General features: G+C 46.5%; 1 annotated feature.

Annotated features, from left to right (window-relative positions):
• Positions 8,474–8,768: an enhancer, noted in NCBI's record as "tiled region #2476; HepG2 Activating DNase matched - State 5:Enh". NCBI's record gives its function as "activates a minimal TATA promoter and a strong SV40 promoter by Sharpr-MPRA in HepG2 cells {active_cell/tissue: HepG2}" and the evidence as "EXISTENCE:reporter gene assay evidence [ECO:0000049][PMID:27701403]".

Here is a 16,611-nt window from a genome sequence, read left to right on the forward strand (position 1 = left end):
TCATTCACTCATTCACACGTTCTTTACACCAAACTTTGCTGAGTACCACTTCATTCCAGAGAATACTGCCTCGGGCTCTACGATGGGCCAGGCATTGTGCCAGGCACTTGTGTTCCTATTTTAAAAGGTACTAAATCATAGTATGATATAGAGAGAAAGACTTTGAGGTCGATGGAGCAATTCGCTCAGAGGAGACCTGGGAAAGTTTGGAGAGGAGGTGAGATCTGGGCTGGGCCCTGCAGTAGCGGAGTTTGGGGTGGGGAAAGGGCATTCAGGCAAGGGTAACAGAGGCCAGGCAGCTGGATAACGAAGAGTGTGTTTGGGAACCAAGTGTTGACTGACCCTCTGGCACAGGGTTTCCCCCACAGGACAGTGGGGAGAAGGGTGGTTAGGAAGGAGGCTGGGAAAGTTGGTTCCCCATCTAGTCTTTGTGAGTGGCTCCCAAGGCCACCCGCCAACTTCTCTGACCCTCATTTTGCCATCCTGTGAATCAGATTTAATGACCCTCGTCCTGCCTGTATTATAGGGAGGTTTTGAAGGTCAAAGGGAACCCAGAGACTTTGCTATGCCGAGAGAGAGGTCACTTGCCCCTGGTTTTGCTTCCTTCCCAGGGGTGTGTGGGCCCCTGGGTTTCAATGGTTTCTTCAGGGCTGGCCTCCAGCCACACTCTGCCAGCCCCACAACCCCCACCCCAGGTGCTCCTGAAGGTCAAGAGTGTGTCCTGCTCATTTGCATCTGTGCATGGGGTAGGTGGTCAGAGCCCAAGTCAAGGAGTCAGCCTGATCCCCATTCAGGTGCACATTGCCCCGGCGGCCCCCGGCAAATCACTTTCATCTTTGAGCCTCAGTGTCCTCATAACGGGGCTGTTGTGAGCTGTGGTGAGCAGCAGGTGATACGGAGCTTGCATTCAGCCCCTGTGAACGACTTGCCGGGACTGCTCTAAGCAGGGACCTCACCACCCTTCCGGGGACATCCTGGAGCAGGAAGGCTCCTGCTGGTCCAGTTCCCAACTGACAATCAATTACTCAATCGCTCACTTTGTTCACTCACTCCATTCACTCACTCCTTCAACGAATGTTTACTGACCACCTTCCAGGCACCCAGCACAGCACTGGGTGCTTTGTTGTTGCAATGATTGAGACAAGGTTTTGAACCTCAACAGAGAACTTATAATTGAATTAAAATTGGCAGGCAATATGTGACTATGTGCCCCCTGGATGGGGCAGGTGGCAGTTGACAGTGCAGAGAGAGAAAAAGACACAGAAATTGTTAGGTTGGAGTAGGGTAGGGATATGCGTCAGGGAAGACCTCTCAGAGGGTGTGGCCTCCAGCAGAGTCTGTGGAACTCAGGAGGGTGGGGAGTGGAAGGTGGGCATTCCAGGTAAGGGAACTACCTGAGCAAACGTATGGAGGGAGGCATGCATGTGGCCATCAAACCTGCTTAGCTGGAAGGAATGGGTGGAACCTGGTTGTACAGGTGGCCAGGGCTGGGCAGCAGAAGGCCAGGAGACTGAGCACTTCCTGCAGCCTGGATTCCAGGGTGTTGACAGGAGGAGGCTGCAACACCAGCTAACTCAGAGCTCTGAGATGGTGAGGTAGGAGGGTGAGTGATGGGCTGGCCTCCCTGCCTGGCAGTCCTCCTGCCCCTTTAGATAGGATGCAGGGTGGGAAGAGCAGAGCTCCTGCCTCTGATTCACTGTGTAGGTCAATACTCAAGTAGGTCACTATGTTTCTCAGAGCCTTGGTTTCTAAACATGGAAAACTGGAGAGACTGGGCCAGATGGTCTCAATTGCCTTTCCAGCTCTAGGACTCTAGAATCTTCTTATTGTCAATTCTGCATCTGCCGTGGCAGTCCTGCCTATCCTGGCTTCTCAGCAATCACCCTCCCCACCAGCCGCAAGGTTAGCTTGTGCGCTCATGCTTGCTTCACGTGATCCTTCTCCTCCAACCTGGCTCTGGAATATTCCTGAACCTGGAGAGACACACTTCACAGCCAATCAGATGAATCCTTTGGAGAATTTAAACCAAGAGATCCAGGCTCTGGATCAATTAGATAGTGTTAGCCCTTCGATGCAAGGTTATAAGAAGAAGAAAGACTAGTGTTTGCTGAGCTTTATTTCGTTCTCACATCAACCCTGCAAAGTAAGCTCTGTTTGTATACCCATTTTATAGATGAGGAAATCAAGTTTAATGAAGGACCATGTTTGTCAGATTATGGCATGTAGCTGGTTACGATGCATCCCAATTCTCCAAGAAAAAAGTTTAAAGTAAAAATCAAAATATTTAGCTTTTAGAATATTTTAGTATAGCTTAGTATATATTAATGTACATATTTAGTATAGTTGAGTATAGTACATATTATATATACTAAAAATATACCAGAAGCTAAATATTTCCATTTTTAGTATATATAGTATATACTAAAAATAATTGTAAGGTATCTCTAGAGGAACCTATATTATTTTGTTTATGTAAATACTATATACCATGGACTGAAATTCCAATAGGAAATTCCAAATAAGTTCTACTAACTCTGAAACAAAACATTTCTTGGAACTGACACAGCAGATAAAGAATTTAAGGCGTGAAGTGAACATGGGTTTTATATATTGGGAAGGACATTCCCTGAGATCTTTTGAGCCTATATCTACCGTTAGCATCTGTTGGTTGACGTTTTCAGCACGGGCCTCTTCTCAGCAACATGGACACACGGGATAGATCGGTGGGGAAAGGAGGGATGTGGATGTAGTTTGTCTGCATTGCTGCAATTTGGCTGCAATGCTACTCCACTGGCACCTGCAGTAACAAAGTTCCATAGACAGAATATGACCTGGGTCTTTATCACTTGACTTTCCTGCCTCCCCCAGAGGTGGCTGAGGGCTGGACCAGATCTGAGCCCTGTACATTAAAATCCCAGGTGGGCTGAACTTCTGGAAAAGGAAGAAGAAAAAACCTACAGACAATGTGGATCTGCAGAGACAGTGATGGAGCATGTGATTGGAGAGAAGCAGGGCAGCACCCCAGGAGCCCCAGCGAGACATGGGGAGGACACTTTAGCTCTCTGGAAGCCCCGCCCACTTTCTGCAGCCTCAGTTGTGAGATTGCTTTGAATCTTGATGGCTAGTTCCCATTTATGTAAACTTTTCTTAGTAAAAGGTCATTTCTAGCAACCAGATAGTCCCTGATAAAGACCTCACTGTTATGACGATGTCTGTGTCCTATTAATTAAGATCCTGGGATATGCATCCTACTCCATAAACTTGACTGCATAAGAAATGTTACATTATTTTATTTCCTTGAGGTCTAATTAAATCTGACCCCGACTCCACGTTCTTGCTGAGGTAGCTGAAAAATTGATCTCAGTTGTGAGATGAGATGGGGGGGACCTCTCTTATTTTATATTTTTTTGAGACAGAGTCTCACTCTGCCACCCAGGCTGGGTGCAGTGGTGCCATCTCAGGTCACTGCAACCTCTGCCTCCCAGGTTCAAGGGATTCTGTTGCCTCTTGTGAGGATCCAGTGACAAAGTGGACATAAAATCCAAAGTGGAGTAGCTTGGGACTACAGGTGTGTGCCACCACACCCAGCTAATTTTTGTATTTTTTAGTAGAGACAGGGTTTCGCCATGTCGGCCAAGCTGGTCATGAACTCCTGAGCTCAAGTGATCCCCCTCCTGAGCCTCCCAAAGTGGTGGGATTACAGGCGTGAGCCACCCGCGCCTGGCCCAGGACCCCTCTTCTTCAGGGCAATGCACCATCTGTGAAGCTCCCACCTGAAATCAGTCTTCAGTCCAACCTTGCAGACTTGGCTACTGCTGATCTTCTCCTCATCCCTTCTGTGGGGGCCCCTATAGGTAGGCATCTATTGTACTGCTGTGCCAGGGTCTAGCCTCCCTGAATTAAATGTGCCACTCAGCCATTTCCATTGGTCACTGAAGTTTCCACCCCCACCCAGTCCTGGTCAGTCTCCCTCTGTCTCACTGCACTCAAAGGCACTTGGCTCTCTCCCTCCCCTGCAGCATAATAACTCAAGTTCAGGCTTTTACTCAAAGCCAGAGGAGGCAGCCTGTCATTGAGTACCTTCTAGTAGCATGGGGCTAGTTTGTACTGGAGGAAGGAAGAGGGAGTATAGGAGCACAGAAAGGAAAGGCAACACCCCACTGGTCATCATGGCAATCAGCTAGGGTGTTCCTACTGGCCACAGTACCCACTGCTTCTGGAAACCTCTCTTTTCCAGAAGGCCCCTGTGGCCATGGAACATAGATCCCCCACTGACATTTGAGTGGGTTCCTGAAGTTATTGCCTGCAGCACAAGATCCATTTGCTCCGAGCAGTGAGAGATGGAGAGGGAGCAACTGGGCCCTAGAGCCGGGTGGTCAGCATGAGGCTCCAGCAGGATCCTGGCGGGTGGTGGCTTTCCCAGCCAGCTTCTCCGAGAGCTGCCCCAGCCCAGGCCACTGCTATTTCTCCAGGATTCTTCCTTGGGGGTAGCTCTATGATCATTTTTATTGGATGTGTCAAAATCACTTTGCTTAAACTCAAATCTGGTCTAGGTTCTCTGTTGAAATAAATCCTAAACGTCTCAATGCAGACTTCAAGGCTCTGCAAAATTCAACCTCACCCTAAATTCAAGCCTCACCCTTTCTCTCCTCACATTCTCCTTGGGCTCCAGAATCACATACATATTATTTCTCTCTTCTCCTGGCCTTTGGTTATCCTGTGTCCCCTGCCTGGCACACAACCTCCCCAGCAGGCATTTTGGCTGACTCCAGAGCCATCCTTCAGTGTTGGAGAGTAGAGGGAACGGTGGCTTTGAAGTGCCCAGGTCTGGAGTCAAATGCCTGCTCTGCTACTTGCTGGATGTGTGATCTGTTGTTCTCTGAGCCTCAAGCTTCCCATCTGTAAACTGGTTATCACTAAAGCAACTACACAGGGCTGAAGTGAGGATCCAGTGAGAAAATGGACATAAAACACAAAGTGAAGTGAGAAAATGTGCCACTCTGATATGCTGTCAGCATAGAAAACTGTCTCTTCCATTCCTTCAACAAATATCCCCTCTTTGCACTCTACCCCCAGCTGAATAAAAGCAGAGTGTAGTTTATGTAGCTTAAGAGGTGACTGACAGCTAGATTCTTGGTCAGGAGATTGCGTGATAGAGAGTCTGAAAGTGACAGGTATCATTTATTAACACTTGCCATGTGCCCAGCACCATGTGGAATGCCCACAGATGTTACCCACTGAGTTCACACATCCCCGGGCAGGGAGGAGCTTTTTTCATTTGTCTGTTTTTATGAACAACAAAAAAGAGGCTCAAAGAGTTTAAGTGACTTATCCAATGTCACTGCAGTTAAAACACACACACACACACACACACACATCCACACACATGTACATATATACACTTATTTTTTAATTAATTAATTAATTAACTAATTATTTATTTTTGAGACAGAGTTTCACTCTTCTTGCCCAGGCTGGAGTGCAAAGGCATGATCTTGGCTCACCACAACCTCGCCTCCCCTGTTCAAGCGATTCTCCCGCCTCAGCCCACCAAGTAGCTGGGATTACAGGCATGTGCCACCACGTCCAGCTAATTTTTTTGTATTTTTAGTAGAGACGGGGTTTCTCCATGTTGGTCAGGCTGGTCTCGTACTTCCGACCTCAGATAATCCACCCACCTCAGCCTCCCAAAGTGCTGGGATTACAGGCGTCAGCCACCGCGCCCAGCCCATATATACACTTCTATACACCCTTCCACCCCACATCCCTTCACAGTCTCACACATACTCACACACTCATACATACACACAGGCACTCTGTCTCACACACTTTCACATACACACATGCGAGGAAAAGGATATACGGGAGATTGGACCTTGGTTGGCTCAGAAAAAGCAAGAAGCCATGAATAGCAAAAAGGACAAGCAACACCCATCCAGTCCCAACCAAGGGTGGCAAAGCAGGCTGAATGCAGGAGTCCTGGCTGCTATTTCTGACACTGCTATGCTGAGGAAAGAGTTTTGGGCATGATGATGCTGTTGTTTCATTGGTGCTTAAGGGGCTGCTTTCTCCCCTGAAACGATCTTCCTATTCACAGCAGTCCCAGATAATCAGACACTGGCAAAGAACATGTGCCCAAAACATGGTGGTGAGTTTTTATGAGGGAGGCGAATACCACTCCCTTGTCTCAGGACATTCCAAACCTTCGCCTTATCTGACTTAAGCAGCACAGACACGCTCTGGCGGATCGGTGGAATACTCCTTGGATTCCTACATTTAACCTTGCTCTCTCAGTCCCTGTGGTTTTGTTGATTGCACACACACCTTTCGTTTCCATGGACCACAGGGTACATGTTACTCTTGGAAATGTTATATTAAATTTGACAAATAAATGAAATTTTTAAAATGCTGCCTGTGAATGCCTGTGAGCATTTTAGTGTTTCAGACACGTACTCACTTAGAAGTGGTGATTAGGCCTGTGCCCAACAGGCTGGGCCATCTGCAGTGTTATTCATCCTTCATTCAAAAATGTTTATTGAGGCCGGGTGCAGTGGCTCATGCCTATAATCCCAGCACTTTGGGAGGCCGAGCTGGACGGATCACCTGAGGTCAGGAGTTCAAGACCAGCCTGGTCAACATGGCAAAATGCCAGTGCTACAAAAAATACAAAACTTAGCCGGGCATGGTGGTGCACACCTGTAGTCCCAGCTATTCAGGAGGCTACGGCAGGAGAATCACTTGAACCCAAGAGACAGAGGTTGCAATGAGCCGAGATCGCACCACTGCATTCCAGCCTGGGCAACAGAGTGAGATTCTGTCTCGATTAAAAAAAAGGAAATATTTGTTGAGCACCTAGCATAAGCAGGACACCGTTATGGGCCTGTGATGACAATCGAATGCCAAACAGGCAAGGCTCCTGTATCCAAGGAGATGACCGGAGGGAGACAGAAAACAAGTCAGCAAACAAAGCAATGAGCAAAATCATTTCAAGCAGTGGTGTGTTAGAGACACAATACAAAAGCTTGTGCAACACCCGACACTTGTTCACAGCTGCGTACAGCACTATTCACAACAGCCCAAAGTTGGAAACAACCTTCCTGTTCATCAGCAGATGAATGGATGCACAAAATGTGGGTATCTACATTCACCTTTAATAAGAAAGGAAATTCTGACACATGCTACAACATGCATGGACTTTGAGGATACTATGCTAAGGGAAATAAGCCAGTGACAAAAGGACACAAACCGTGTAATTCCACTTATATGAGATTCCCAGAGTAGTCAAATTCACAGAGATAGAAAGTAGAGTAGAAGTTACCAGGGGCCGGAGAATTATTGTTCAATGAGTATAGAGTTTCTCTTTGGCATGAATAAAACGACTGGAGACAAATGGTGGTGATGGTCACACAACAATGGGAATGAACTTACTGCCACTGAAGCATATACTTAAAAGTGGCTAAAAAGATACATTTTATATATGTATGCTTTACCACCAAAAAAATGACTTTTTTTTTTTTGAGATGGGTTCTCCCTTTGTTGCTTAAGCTGGAGTGCAGTGGCATGATCTCGGCTCACTGCAACCTCTGCCTCCTGGGTTCAAGCAATTCTTCTGCCTCAGCCTCCCGAGTAGCTGGGACTACAGGTGCCCGCCACCATGCCTGGCTAATTTTGTATTTTTAGTAGAGATGGGGGTTTCACCATGTTGTCCAGGCTGGGCTCGAACTCCTGAACTTGTGATCCACCCGCCTCAGCCTCCCAAAGTGCTGGGATTACAGGCATGAGCCACCGTGCCCAGCTAAAAAAATGACTTTTTTTAAAAAAAGGTTATGTGCTAGAGAGTAACTGGGTGGAGATGGAGAGTGAGTGAATGCACCTGAGATGGCTGTGGAAGGCCTCATTGGGAAGGGACATTGGAGCAGAGTGGAGAGAGGTCAGGCAGGAGAGCTAGGTTGGGGGGAGGCAGTTGCATGTGGGGCCTCGAGGCCAGAGCAGGGAGTGTGACTCTTATTCTAAGCAGCAGACAAATTACAAAAAAATGTAGCTGCGGGGTGACATAATCAAACTGACACTTTTAAAAGCTCCTTCAGGCCAGGCATGGTGGCTCACGCCTGTAATCCCAGCACTTTGGGAGGCCAAGGCAGGCGGATCACTTGAGGCCAGGAGTTCGAGAGCAGGCTGGCCAACATGGCAAAACCCCATCTCTACTAAAATTTAAAAAATTAGCAGGGTATGGTGGCTCATGCCTGTAATCCTAGCTACTCGGGAGGCTGAGGCAGGAGAATCGCTTGAACCCGGGAGGCGGAGCTTGCAGTGAGCTGAGATCGCGCCACTGCACTCCAGCCTGAGAGAGAGAGTGAGACTCTGTCTCAAAAAAATAAAAATAAAAATAAAATAAAATACAAGCTCCCTCGAGCTGCTGTGGAGCAGAGATTGCCAGGGAAGACACTGGAATCCACGGGAGCTGTGGGGAGGTGAGTGTGGGAGTCCAGGAAAGAGGTGAGGCCTGTCCCCTTCTCATATCTCAGCCCATTTGCCCCTGCCTGGTCACATGTTGGATCAGCAGGTCACACGTTGGGAAAGGAAGATGAGGAAATCAGAGTGTTGAAATCCACTGTGGCTGTGCATGGCAAAGGCTCTGCCCTGTTGGGGAATGGGGCGTGGCCCATGCTGCCCCTTGGACCTAAGCCTCATTCACTCAGCTTGCCATGGGAGACACTGGCGCAGGGGTCTGTGGGCAGGGGCCAAGGGTGGGCAGGGTGGTGGTTTCCAAGGGCATTGGCCTGAGGGTCAGCAGAGCTGGCTCAACCCCAACTCTGATGCCAGCGGCACGCCTTGAATGAAGGAGCTCACCTCCCTCAGTCTCAGTTTCTCCATCTGTAAAAGGAGGATAATAACGGTTCTTACATTGCAAGGTCATTGTAAGGGTTCAACAGGATAATGCGTCTTAAGCTTTTAACACTGTATCCAGCTCAGGATAAACTCTCAGTAAAGGATAGTTATCATCATTATCATCATCATTATTTTACTATTCTAGATCTAAAATATTTACTCCATCTGCCCCAGGCACATTAAGATCATAAGACCTTCCCATCTAAACTTGTAAGTCCCTTTGATTAGTGAGGTTGGCTACCATTTAATACTCTGGGAGAATTTTGCGGGCAGTGTTTGGATCTTCTTCATCATTCTCTTCTCCTTCAAGTCACACAGTAGGCATTCCTGTCTGTGGTGACTCTACACCTTCATTTTTGTGGATAGCACTCAGAATTCCTGGAGTTACCTGTTCGGTGTCTGTGTTTCCTGCCAGAGGTGCTCTATTTAGGTGGGACCACCCCTCCCTTGGCTATCGTTGTGTTAATAGTGGACAGATTAAGAATCCAGACTTGGCCAGGTGCAGTGGCTCACACCTGTCATCCCAGCACTTTGGGAGGGCTAGGAGGGAGTATTGCTTGAGCCTAGGAGTTTGAGACCAGCCAGGGTAACATAGGGAGACCCCATCTCCACAAAAAATTAAATATTAGCCAAGCATGTTGGCATGTGTCTATAGTCCCAGCAACTTGGGAGGCTGAGGTGGCAGGATCACTTGGGCCCCAGGGGGTTGAAGCTGCAGTTAGCCAAGATCACACCACTGCACTGCAGCCTGGGTGACAGAGTGAGATCCTGTCTCAAAATAAATAAATAAATAAAATCCAGACTTCAGTATATAGTCATCCCTTGGTATTGATCTGTAGGATATTGGTTCTAGACTCTCTTTCAGATACCAAAATTCAAGGATGCTCAAGTCCTGATATAAAATGGTTTGGTATTTGCTTATAACCTAGGCACATTCTCCGGTATACTCTTTTTACTATTTTTTTTTTTTAAGATGGAGTCTTGCTCTGTGACCCAGGCTGGAGTGCAGTGGTGCAATGTCGGCTCACTGCAACCTTCGCCTCCCAGGTTCAAGCAATTCTCGTTCCTCAGCCTCCCGAGTAGCTGGGATTACAGGAACATGCTACCGTGCCAAGCTAATTTTTTTTTTTTTTTTTTTTTGTATTTTTAGTAGAGATGAGGTTTTGTCATGTTGCTGGTCTGGAACTCCTGACCTCAGGTGATCTGCCCGCCTAGGCATCCCAAAGTGCTGGGATTACAGGTGTGAGCCACCATGCCCAACCTCTCCTGTATACTTTAGATCATCTCTAGATTAGTTATAATACCTAATAAATATAAGTTCTGTATAAATAGTTGTTATATTGTTTAGGGAATAATCACAAGGAAAAGTGTCTGCTCATGTTCAGTACAGACACACTTTTTTCCTGAATATTTTACATCCACAGTTGGTTGAATCCACGAATGCAGAAACTATGGATACCAAGGATTGACTGTATATCCAAAATAATTGAAAGAAAGGACTCAAACAGATACTTGTACACAAATGATCATAGCAACACTCTTCACAATAGCCAGAAGGAGGAAGCAACCCAAGTGTCTATTGACAGATGAGTCGATAAACAACATGTGGTATATCCATACGATGGAATATTATTTAGCCTTAAAAAGGAAGAAAATTCTGATAACGTGCTGCAATGTGGATGAAAATTGAGGGCACTACGCTAAGTGTAGTGCAATCTCGGGTACTATGATAAGTCAGTCACAAAAAGACAATTGAGGGTACTACGATAAGTCAGTCACAAAAAGACAAATGTTGTATGATTCCACTTATATAAGTAGTCAAACTCAAAGAGACAGAAAGTAGAATGGTGGTTGCCAGGGCTGGGCGAGGGGACGTGGAGAGTTGTTTCATACATATGTCTCAGTTTTGCAAGATGTAAGAGTTCTGGAAGTGGGTCGCACAACAATGCGGGTACACTTAACACCACTGAGCTGTACACTCAAAAATGGTTATGATGGTGAATTTCATGTTATGTGTTTTTTTTTAAACTACAATTTTAAAAAAGAAAAAGAATCTGGACTTTTGAGAAGAGAGGCCTGGGTTACAACCTGAACTCTGATGTAAATGGAAAGAACAACGTTACCAGTCTCTTGGGGTGAACCTGAGTCTTGCATGCGATACTAATGTAAAATCCAGTGCCTGATACGTGGTATGTACTTAACAAATGTTATATCTTTGCTTGTATTATCCTGAATGCTCAATAAACATCGGTTGAAATAAATGAATGAAACAAATGTTTAAAAAGGTAACAGCACTCACTCTTCAAAGGAGGCTTTGTGTTGGGAGCTATTGTTGGGCCTCTCCAGTGCTGAATCCAGGAGTCCCATCTTGACTGTCGGTGGCCTTTGTTGCAGTTGTTCCTTCTTTTCTTCCTGAAACCTTTTCTTCACCTGGCTTCAGGGACAGGACTCTCTCTTGGTTCTCCTTGTACCTCCCCACCCTCAACGTCTCAATCTCCTTTGCTGGTCCTCCTCAGCTTCCTGACCCGTCAATGCTAATGTGCTTGGGACCCAGTGATTCCTTCTCTTCCCTTTTCTATCTGTACGTACTCCGTAGGAGGCCTCAGCCAGACTCATGGCTCCACATCCCATTAATGCATACATTAATACCATAGATACATACATAATACAGCTCTCCACCTTGCACCTCTCCCCTGAAATCCAGACCATTATATATCCACTCTCTCCTTGATGCTTCCACTTGAATGTCTAACTCAACATTTTAATAAACAAATAGAAGACATCCAATTTAGTACATCTAAAAAGAATCCTATCTCAGTAAACGACAACTCCACTTCCAATTGTTTAGACCAAAAATCTGGGAATCATCCTTACCTTCTCTCTTTCTCTCATGTCCCCCATTTGAGCTATCGGTAAATCCCATCTGTTCAGCCTTCAGAATCTACCCACTTCATTCCACTGCTATCATCTCATTCCAAGCCCAAAACCCTTTGCCTGGATTACTGTTATTGACTTGTCAGTGATCTCCTTGCATTTATCTTGAACCCCCTTCTCAACAATGTATTCCTGACACAGCAAACGGAGTGATCCTTTAAAAACTGAAGATCATATCCTTTCTCCCATCAAAACATCCTATGGCCTCATTTTTCACTCAGGGTGAAAGCAAAGTCCTTGCAGTGCCTGTAAGTCCACATACTCTGGCACTGTCATATCTGAGACTTTAACTGCTACCATGGTCCCATTGGCTCACCCTGCTCCAGCTTCTCCGCCTTCCTGCAGTTGTTTGCATATGCTTGCAGGCTCTTGCCCCAGGGCCTTTGCACTCCCTCTCCAGGGCCCCTCTTCCTGCTGATATAACCATGGTATGCTTCCTCCATTTGTGCAGATCTCTACTCACAGACCGTATTATTGGAGAGATCTTTGTGCCCCCTCTATGAGGAGTCATATCCCTCCACTGATCTACCTCCTTTTCTACCCTTTACCTTGCTATACTTGTCTATCACCATCTGATACACTATACGTCTCACTGACTGTTCTTTTACATTGTCTATTGACTCCCTAAAATGTCAGCTCTATGGGGTCAGGGACCTTGCCTGACTCTTGCACTGATGTTTCTCAAGAGCCCAGTGCCAAGCACATGGTAGATCTTCAGTAAATATGTATCCAGTGAATCAGTGTGCACGTCTGCAAAGAGGCTGTGACCTGCGTGAGTTTTCCAGCTGTAAGAGTCAATGAATGGCCGAGACTCTCCGTGTTGCATCTTTCCTAGAGGAAAGGGCATTGCTGTTGCAATTGCCTCACAATCAACTGTGCTGGGTGGATTTACTGGGTAATTGCATGGCATTGGCCCAAACTGCAGAAGTAGATCTTTTCCCCATTTCTTTAGCGATCTCCTGAAGAGCCTGCCCAGCAACTAGACCCTTCAGCTAGCACCTTTACTAACAGGGCTGGGTTTGTCCAGGGTACCGGGGTGGGGTCCTGGATCCTCTGAGAAAAGGTCAGTAGAAGTGCAAATGCTGGTCCCCCAGACACTGGATTTGCCGGTCACACGCAGCAGAAAGAACAGCATGTTCTTTACAAGCAGAGAACAAACCTCTCCGCAAACCTCCCCACTTGAGCTGGGATTTTCCTTCCTCCCCTATAGTGAGCCAGGCCTTGACCATAGCAACTGGCAGCATTTCCCTGATTCCCAGGCTTTCGTTTTGCGTTGCCACGGAAATGGACCACTGGACTCCAAGACATATTCCAGTGACATTCATTCACACACCTGATTGTCCTCTCCGAGGGCCCAAACACACATACACACACATGCGCGCACGCACACGCACACATACACACAAAGTGACCTTGATGCGATCGTTCTAATTGCCCTGTAACACCGCAGACACGAGAATGAGTGGGTCACATGGCAGCTACTTAAGACTCACATGGGCTGCTCATGTGGCCCATGTGCAAAGATGAGGGGGAAGTAACCTCGATTCACAAATGCGATAATCTTGGCAGGAATCTCTCCCGCTTTTCCCCCTTGCATTCAGCTAAGAGGCAAAACCAAAAGAGAGGCTTTTTGATTTAAGGCAAAATCAAATCCTTGTTCTAGTTCTACTCAATGGGGAGGGGGAAGATAAATACCTTGCTCTGCTTCTGAGCTCGCTGTAATCTCTTGTCCCTCACAGCGTGCCCGCTACTCCACATGGCCTGGCTATGCCAGGATTCTCAAGCTGGTGAGAGCCCAAGCTCCTCACTTTAGAATGGACAGAGAATATGCCACCTAATGTTTGTTTTCAGCTTCTTGGGATCTTTGCAAAATTACCACAGAAATGTTTTCTGTGGGTATATTGCTATATCAATGTACTACATATGCAAGTATGTGCTTGGTAGGTGTGATATATTGGAAGAAGGTGCTGGTGTATGAGTCTTTGTGCCTGTGGAGAGAATATGAGGCTGGGATGTAAATGCATAGATATGCACCTGTGTGCATGGTGTGTGGAAATGATCTCTGCAGTTGTACACATGATCTCTACATAAGGGCATGGTGCATGCATGCACATTTGCGTGTTTCTGCATGTGGAGTGTGTACTTGGACTACACATGCTCATAGGGAACTCATCTGCAAATGCTAAACCATCAGTTGTCCCCTGGCCCCACTTGCTGCACCACACAAGGCTCCCTCCATAGCCTCGCTGGCCTCCCTAGAGGACTTATTGTTTAAGATGAATGATCAGAGAAATTGTGGCTGAGTTTCTACCCCTCAAAGGTTTTTGTCCCAGGGGTCAGGGAGTCCGAGTCCAGCTGGCGGTTTGTGAGGACAGTCATAAGGAGAAATGAAGTTCCTTGGCGCCTGGAACCTAAGGAGTTCTGCTTTTCTGTGAAGCACTACACCTACTTACACAGTCAGCCTGGCAGAAAGATCCAGCAACGAGATTCCTGTTTCCAACCCACACTCTCACCAATATGTATGCTCAGGCTCCTTGCAACTTTGGGTGACACAATAATTTGATTTCTTCACTGAAAACATACACCCACACCCATCCCCGCCCCGCAACCTCCCCCGCCTCCCCACACACTCACCATTAACATTAGGACTGTGCTGCAAACTGACCACAGCCAACCTAGGAAAGAGGGCTCCAGCAATCACTACAAAAATACATATTCTTTTTTCCTTTTAGATTCAAGAATAATACATGAAGGTTGGGCGCGGTGGCTCATGCCTGTAATGCCAGCACTTTGGGAGGGTGAGGTGGGAGAATTGCTTGAGCCCAGGAGTTTGAGACCAGCCTGAGCAACATGGCAAAACCCCCTCTCTCCAAAAAAAAAAAAATTTACAAAAATTAGCCAGGCATACCGGCATGTGCTTGTACTCTCAGCTACTCCAGAGGCTGAGGTGGGAGGATCGCCTGAGCCTGGGATGTCAAGGCTGCAGTGAGCCGAGATCGCACCCCTGCACTCCAGCCTCAGCGACAGAGTGAGACTCTGTCTCAAAAAAAAGAGAAAAAAAAAAAGAATGACACATGAAAACAGCATGTTCAAGGCCCCAGATGATAATGACTTATCTTTTAACATTTCATATCTTTGGCCAAAAAAGTTGCAGTGTGACCTTGAGCCGTATATTAGGTTGAATCATTGAAATTGCAGGCACTCAACCATCTCTGACGTACAAAACTATTTCATGTGGTTCAATCTAATACATACCTTTTTGAGAGTCTGTGTATAAAATGAAGATATTAATCTATATCTAGCAGGACTGTTTTGGAGATTAAGTATCAACAAATGCCAGGACCAAATCTGATAGCTAAACCCACTGGTTTTCAAATGTATCTCTTTGCCACATATTGATGGGAATGAGGTTCTCTGCTCTCCAATCTGGTTGCTTAATTTTCCAATGTGTTACCCTCCCTAGATTCTGGAAGGGTCAAAGCACTTTAGAATTTCTCTGTTTTATTCTTTCTTTTCACAAGAGCTCTTTCTTATTCTCTGACCTTTCATTTTTATAGCCTCTTAGTCTAATCTTAGGGATGTAATTTTTTCTTCCTTCCTTCCTTCCTTCCTTTCTTTCTTCTTTCTTTTTTTTTTTTTTTTTTTTTTTTTTTTGAGAGGGAGTCTCACTCTGTCACCCAGGCTGGAGTGCAGTGGCACGATCTTGGCTCACTGTAACCTCCACTTCCCAGGTTCAAGCGATTCTCGTGCCTCAGCCTCCTGAGTAGCTGGGATTACAGGCATGAGCCATCACGCCCGGTTAATTTTTTTGTATTTTTAGTAGAGACAGGGTTTCACCATGTTGGCCAGGCTGTCTCAAACTCTGACCTCAAGTGATCCGTCTGCCCTGGCCTCCCAAAGTGCTGGGATTACAGGCGTGAGCCACCATGCCTGGCCTCTGTAATATCCACTCTTTCTGAGCTTAATACTGTTATTGTTCTTCTTAGCCATTGTTCACAGTTTTCTTCTGCTCCCAGTAATGTCTCTATCACCTTTGGGCTCCTTTTTCTCTGTTTTGTTCCAGAGGCTTTGTTTGATTGCCCAGTGACTGTGGCTGATGTTCGTATCTAAGAGCCAAAAAGCTGTTTAGAAGCTCATGAATAATCTTGTTGACTGATGAGCTTTACTATTGGATGAAAAGTTAGTGATTTTGCTCTTAGGTTGGTCAACTTCCCTAGAAAGCGCTTCTCCAGTCTGCTGCTTGGGAACTATTACTCTGGGAGCCAGTGTGGGTCTCACTATTCAATATGAAACTTTCATTTAATACCCCTCTAAAATAGACTTTTGCCCCTGTCCTGAGTGAAGCCCCGTGTCTTTTCTGGTTTATCGTCCACCAAATAAAAGCATCCAGTATTTTATTATGATAGAGGAGGAACATTTTCTTGGATTCACTATTTGGGGAAGAAGTGAGGGTGATGATGGTGATGGTGTGGTGATGCTGGTAGTAGCAGTGTAGAAGTGATGATGGTGGTGGTAATGATGGTGGTGATAGTTGTGGTGGTAATGGTGGTGGAGGCACTATCAACAGATGGTGATGGTGGTGGTGGCAGTGGTGATAGTGATGGAGGTGATGATGGTCATGGCGGTGGTTGTGGTGGTGGTAGTAAAGGTGGTGGAGGTGGTGATGGTGACGGTGGCAGTGGCAGTGGTGATAGTGATGGAGGTGGCAATGGTCATGGTGGTGGTGGTGGTAATGGTGGTGGAGGTGGCGATGGTCATGGTGGTGGTGGTGGTAACGGTGGTGGAGGT

The sequence above is a fragment of the Homo sapiens genome, chromosome 5, assembly GCF_000001405.40.
Source record: "Homo sapiens chromosome 5, GRCh38.p14 Primary Assembly".
Lineage (NCBI taxonomy): Eukaryota > Metazoa > Chordata > Mammalia > Primates > Hominidae > Homo > Homo sapiens.